This window comes from Homo sapiens, chromosome X, assembly GCF_000001405.40.
Source record: "Homo sapiens chromosome X, GRCh38.p14 Primary Assembly".
In the NCBI taxonomy this organism is placed as follows: domain Eukaryota; kingdom Metazoa; phylum Chordata; class Mammalia; order Primates; family Hominidae; genus Homo; species Homo sapiens.
The window spans coordinates 118,823,537-118,830,154 of record NC_000023.11 but is presented as its reverse complement, the minus strand read 5'-3'; the positions used below and the strand labels follow the sequence as shown (position 1 = coordinate 118,830,154).

Here is a 6,618-nt window from a genome sequence, read left to right as displayed (position 1 = left end):
TCTAAAATATGTAAAAATGGCAATACCATATGGGGTTAAGATGAGGATTCAAGGAACCAACGCCTTCAAAGAGCCTGATACAGGATGTTTGGCACACAATAAGCTCTTAAAAATAGCAATTTTCTAGCTTGGGAAACATGGCAAAACCCTGTCTCTACTGAAAATTAAAAAATTAGCCGGGCATGGTAGCATGCACCTGTGGTCCCAGTTATTTGGGAGATGGGAGAATTGCTTGAGCCGGGAAGGTCAAGGCTGCAGTGAGCTGTGATTGCACCACTGCACTCCAGCGTGGGCAACAGAGCGAGACTGTGTCTCAAAAAAAATAAAAATTTTAATGATGTTTATTGTATCATTATTATGGAAGGATCAGGAAGAAGAAGAAGAAGATTCAGCAAAGGAGACCGAGAAGTGGGCATCAAAAGGTCAGGAAGCGGGAACTGTGAGGGGGGATGTCATGGAAACGGAGGGACAAGATGCCAGGAAGCGGGGAGATTGTGTAAAAGGGCACTCAGAGACTGGTTTCTTCTGACAAGATGAAATAGCAATTTCTCATCTCTTAGCGACCAATGAGAATGAAGGCAGAAAGGAAGAAAATAAGCCCATATCTTTAAATGAAGGCTATCCGACACAAAATTCTCTAAAAGCCTTTTAGGTAACTCTATTCATCTGATCTGAATGCCCAGGTATCCAATTAGGAAGAATGCATATTTCTTGAATAAACTAAAAGCCAGTGTCAGAGTTTAAAAAAAAAGGGGAGGGGGCGAGGATGAAAGGGAATGAGTCACAAAATAGGTTTTCAAAGCAGTGAAAGCAGTGGTCTATACTGAACATCCAAGCTCACTCCAGTGAAAGGGAAGTAGTGGTATGGATAGGATTTATTCATTTTTCTACTCCCCCTGGTAATAGAAAGAAATAGCAGCATAATCTGTGTCTTTGGACAAATCACTCAACAAGTGTTTATAGAGTAAAACCAAAAAACGTGAACAGGAAATGGAACAATATTCGAATCTGTACTAGATGAGAAGGGTAGATATCACCCAGGAGTAGATTTAGGGAGGAATTAAGGGTTAAACTCTATGCAAGCTGGAGAATGTTGGGGGCCTCTTTGGCTTTGGGGGCCTGAGTGGAGCTGCCACCTGTCTGGGGGTGCACAAGTGGTCCCTCTTGGCTCTGGAGAGACTGAGATTGCTGCCAGGGGCCCAGAGATGCCCCAGAAGGATGCAAGGAGTGGCCCTCTTGAGTCTTTGCTCCTGACCCAGTTTTTCTTAAGCTAAAAGGTCAGAAGCTGAGGCCTGGCACGGTGGCTCACACCTGTAATCCCAACTCTTTGGGAGGCTGAGGCGGGTGGATCACCTGAGGTTAGGAGTTCAAGACCAGCCTGGCCAACACGGTGAAACCCCGTCTCTACTAAAACTACAAAAATTAGCCAGGCACAATGGCGTTTGCCTATAATACCAGCTAGTTGGGAGGCTGAGGCAGAAGAATCGCTTGAACCTGGGAGGTGGAGGTTGTGATGAGCCGATATCGTGCCACAGCACTCCAGCCTGGGAGACAGAGCAAGACTCTGTCTCAAATAAAAAGAGTTAGAGGCAGAAGGGCCCTCCCAGTCTCCTTTTGGCCAGGAGGGTAAAGGAGGCTGAGGCTTAAGGTAAATGTTGAATGCTGTGGGGAGGAGGGAAGGGAGACTGGGCAGAGCCCAGGAGACTGAGCTCCACACCCTCCACCAGCAGCTGTACGTGGCTCCAGGAGGGCAGTGGGCTGGTGGTTATAAGGTCAAATGGTGGGGTCATGAGTGGAGCAGGGGCAATAAGCCAGGGAGTAGCTGAGAGCCTGTTTCTAGAAAGAGAAGCACTTCACGCCAGATTCTTGGCATGGCAGCCCAGGGAACACTTCTTGTAGTGCCTGGCTACCACTCCTTCCTTGGGGCCTCAGACTGAACCCCCTTTGTCCCCACGGAGTGGACCATCAACTGCCAACATAATCAGAACCCCAATACCCCTCCATGGGACCTTCAACCGGAGCCATTTCTGGTACAACACAGCCCAGAGACGAGTTTGAAACCCTAGGGTCTATGATATCTCCGAGGCTCCCTGTCCCAGTCAATGAAGTTGTGAATTGACTGGTCACAGCACTCTCTCCTCTCTCCCGCCCATCGAGCCCTGTGCTTCTCCTCGACACACCAGCACTCACTGCTTCATACTCTATCCTCTCAGCTCCGTGGAGCCCCTATTTCCGGCAGGGCAGACTCCCTGAGGGTCCCAAATCTGCATATTCATTTCACACTCGACCTCTGCCTTAAGTGCAACCACCTCCACCCCATTCCCCAGCCTTGTCCTGCTCGCAAAAATAGGGACCTAGGCACCTACAAGAAACATAGGGACCTTTGGGGCCTGAGGTCACACGCGAGTCCTCTTCTATCGCCCTCCAGGATGAGATGAGGAGGTGGTCCCTCTTTTCTCTCCCTCTCCTATGGATGCCCTTGGCTCTGCTCACATAGAGTGCAGGGCTTCCTGGCTTTCCGATTCCCATGTTCCTTCACGTGCTCCAGCAAATATATTGCTTTTCGTGTCTCCCAAGCTAACTTGGAGTCCGTGGGCTGCCGGTGGCCTCCAGCGCATAGCTTCAGAGTTTATAGGGGAGGCTCTGGCGCCGTCAGGAGTTGAGCCTGCTAATGCTGAGCTCCCATGAGTGGCTGCTCTCTCTTTTCCTTAACTGGGGAGGGGGCAGAAGGTGGTGTCAGCCCACAGGAGAGATTCCTTGTTGTGACCAGGACGTTGTCCAGAGGCAGCAACAGCAACAACAATCTAAGGAATCTGCCCAGATGAAGAACTGCCCATCCCCAAAGTGAACAGAAATGGAGCCCCTGGAATCCCCATATTGGGCTATTACCTCAGCACCGGACTCCCCCATCCCCCATCAGTCTCCTGGGTATATCAGAGAAGAAAGCACTGGTGTTTTGTCAACAAGTGGGTGTCACAATTTGGCTCTCTGAGCGAAGGGACAGGTTAGTTGTGGTAAGGGGGCTCTGTCCTTTTACCTTTGGGAAGTATCTCAGCCCATTTATTTTTTTTCATTTGCAAAATGCGGTTAAAAATCCCACCTCAGAGTACAACCCCCCTTTACAGTTTTTTACTATATTTTCTTTTTTAAAAATTCTTCCTAACAGCACAGACACATTAAGGCAGATGCTGATATATATATTTATTGACATAGAAGCTCACAACATATATTGTTTGGTGAAAAAATACAGATAGAACAGCACTTATATTTCATCACTTTTATCTATGCATATATCTATCTGGGTACATAGGTATAGGGAAATATCACTCATCAAAGGGTTGACAATGATTATATAAGGGTGGAGAGATTTGGGTAATTTGTACTTCACTTTTTGTACCTTTTTTATTGTTCAAATATTTAACAATAAATTATACCACTTTCACAAAGAATAAAGCTGTCAAGGAAATGGGCACACACAGAAAACAGACCCGTAGGCTGCAGGGAGAAGGAGCAAGGACAGAGGTCAGGCTATCTCCCTCCAATGTGCTGGTATCCAAGACCCTTTCTACTCCACCCCAAAAGATAGCCGCTTTGTGGATTAATTCATGCAGTTAGAAGTCCCACCCCCACCCCCACCCCAGTTTTCCCACTACTGGATGCTGAATATAGGTAAGGGTTCACTGAAACCTGGGGGTGGTCCCTTACAGTGGCTCAGAGAAGTCATTGTATTCGCCAGGGGCCACTCTTGACCTCTCCATCTCAGTATGGGTCAGCTCCTGGAGAGTGATGATCAAATTCTCAAAAACCTGGGCCTTGTCACTCTCGTTGTCACAGGTTTCTTTTGAGTGGCCTTCCTCACCACAATACGAACAGCGGATTGTGTGTTTTCGCTTCCTGGCTCTACGCATCTCCCCAGGACCGTTATTCTTATAGCCAGAACCACCACTGGTGGAAGGAAACTGAGCCCTGGAATTGTGGGGGGAATCAATGACCAGCACTTCATCCTGAGGTCTGGCCCTGTCTCTGAGGGGAGGGGCACCCCAGGATGGAAGTGGAGGGTCCTGAGACTCCACCAGGATCACATCCTCATCGGAGTCGTCGAGGGTATCATCTATCTCTATCACATTGCAGTCAGCACTGCCGATCACTATCGGTGGGGAGCCCTGAAATGCCACAGGGCTGACTGCCCTCTCCACCATTGACTCAGACCTTTTTGGACGCTTCCGTTTAATAAAAGCATCATCCCAATCCTCTTCCTCCCTTACCATTCTGATTAACTCCAGAAAGTTGGGAAGCCGCTCCTGCTCATTTGCATACATCCTGAGAAAATCCTTAAGTCTGAGTCGGAGGTCCCTACTCAGCTCACCGCCTAAAAGGAGCTGCTGCAAGCGAGTCCGGTTTGCATCTTTCTCAGCTATAATGCCTGCCTGAATAGCGTTCTGGAGCTGCACCTCTAAACGGATCACATAAAGGGAGGCTTTCTCCCCTTGAGCTTGTAGGGTGTTAAAAAATTTACCATGGGCAGTCACACTGCTTTCAGACTCCCCAAACACCAATTTCATGGCTCGCAAGAAATCTGCCACACTTAGGTTAGGGTTGGTCGCCTGAAGCACACGCATGACCTCGCGGGCAGGGCCCCTAAGGGTTTTCATCAAGCGCTTGAGCTTTTCCTCCTCAGACATATTCCAATCTGGCAGGACGCCATTGACTTGGGTCAGCCAGTTTTCAAAGGTTTCTTCCCCTTGGGCTGGCACCACCCTCCCCGAGAACAACTTCATGTTTCTGTCTGCCATGCTGGCCATTATAGGACCGAGACTTCTCCCCAGGGACCTCAGCATGGAATGGGCCCAAGGCGGCAAGGGTGCATTCAGCCGCCGGCTGTTACCGACACGTGCAATGATGCTAGCCATGACTGACGACGATAGGGTATCTGAATATAAGAAGATGCCTAGGCTTTTTAGAAAAGCTTAATCTGCAGGTGGGAGAGGAGAGGAGGTGGCTCTGCCTTCCTATCTCAGCAGGGGCTGTAAAAAAGAAAGGGGGGCTGGTTAATAAGGGAGCGGGCTGCAGCTGCATTCTCTTCCTACCTGAATATCCTGCAGTACATTTTATATTTGCCCACTACCCTAAAAATAATCCTGTAGGAGATTGACACTTACAACCTCCCAGAGCTACCCGATGCCTGCGTGCTAGCAAGGTGCTTTTTGCAGCCACATCCATCCCTCCCACCAGTCCTCCAAGAGGGACGGTAACTGTTGCTTCAAATTCTAGGTGTAGCAGTGTCTGGAGCTGATATTGGGCTCTCCAAATAGAGTACAATGATCGCAGATTTGTGGAAATAAAATAAGATCTCATTAACCTCATGGTCTCTGGTCTCAACCACACCCCCTTCTCAAAGTGCCCCCCACGCCCGTCCCCCTTGTTATTTCTCAGATTCTTACACGAACTCTGAAACAAGAGCGCGTCTTTATTTCACTTCCAGCCTCTGCAACCAGTGCCCTCCGTGAGAAAGCTCCTCTCCGGGGTACGGTCAACCTCTGTCCACAGGGGGTCGCAGATCCGGGTCCTTGAGGTTTCAAGATTGCGCCACAGCGGAGAAGGCCAGAGAAGGGAAGGGTTAGAAGCAGCTTCACCCGTCATCCTGCTACCCACCACCTCCGCTGTTGCCAGGCGAAAAATTCTCTCTGCCCCCTCCTGACTATAAGCCAGAGACCAGCCCCCCACCCTCCAGCATTACATTTCCCCCGGGAAGCCGTCGGCCTACCAGCTCTGCAATCAGCTGCACAGAATTCAAGTTCAGATGCGGCTTTGATGGCCTGCCACGGAGAAAGGGAATAGGAGTTGGACACACCCACCCACATATTCCTCCCAGAAAGAGATGAGGAGATGCAAAGGATGTTCGAAGCAAACAGCTCGAGATTCCTCCCCCCGCTACTCCTCGCCTCTCCTCCCACCCCCAAATCCAGGCAAATCCTACCTAGCCCGCAGTATCCAGGTGAACCCCACCTCCTCCCTCAGCGCAGCCGGGCCACGAGAGTACTCCTACCCCTGCCTCACAGTCACCGATTCTCCAAGCTGGGAGCCGCCCAGTACTGGTGGGTCTTCCCCCACCCCTCTCCCCGCCGGGCAATCACACCCCCATTCTTTACCTGTGCTCCGCTGGTGGACAGCAGATGCTCCCGCGTCGCCAGCTGTGGATTCCGCCTTCTGGTCTCCGCCTTGCAGGCGGCAAAGAACTGAAGCCTCCTTGGCCGCTAAGCGACCCGGGGCTGCCCGAAGGAGCTGCTTCGCAGGGCCGCCCAACCAGGGGTAGCAGAGACGAGGCAGCGCCGTTCCTAAGGCAGCCGCGGCGGCTTTTATCCTCTGCCAGCTGAGACAAAAGAGCGTGACGAGCGGGCTAGTGCGGCCAATCAGCGAAGTGCGGGGGCGGACGCCCCGCACAGCCTTGGGCAGAGGCGAGTTTTCGCCTGAGGGGGCGGGGGCGCAGCAGGCCCGCGGAGCGTCAAGTGCAGCTTGATTAGACCGATGGAGCCAATCTGCCTGGGAATTTGCGACTCTTTCTTCCTCCCCCAACCCGTCCCTTCTCCCTGGGCTCAACTCTGCATCTTAGGCCAGGTG

The 6,618-nt window shown here is 51.0% G+C and overlaps 1 protein-coding gene across 2 annotated transcripts; it reads right to left on the bottom strand.

Annotated features, from left to right (window-relative positions):
- On the bottom strand, positions 3,187-6,331 carry ZCCHC12 (zinc finger CCHC-type containing 12). 2 transcript variants are annotated; one of them, NM_173798.4, is made up of 4 exons: positions 6,150-6,331; positions 5,765-5,816; positions 5,442-5,566; positions 3,187-5,024 (listed from the first exon to the last, which is right to left on the bottom strand). In NM_173798.4, exon 4 carries the CDS (start codon positions 4,908-4,910, stop codon positions 3,702-3,704), a length of 1,209 nt encoding a protein of 402 aa, NP_776159.1. In that variant the 5' UTR covers positions 4,911-5,024; positions 5,442-5,566; positions 5,765-5,816; positions 6,150-6,331; the 3' UTR covers positions 3,187-3,701. The 2 variants fall into 2 exon arrangements, with proteins under 2 accessions (NP_776159.1, NP_001299820.1); NM_001312891.2 differs by lacking the exon at positions 5,765-5,816.

Coding starts and splice junctions, on each gene's coding strand:
- ZCCHC12 (NM_173798.4), bottom strand. CDS start 4,910: ATGGCTAGCATCATTGCACGTGTCGGTAACAGCCGGCGGCTGAATGCA.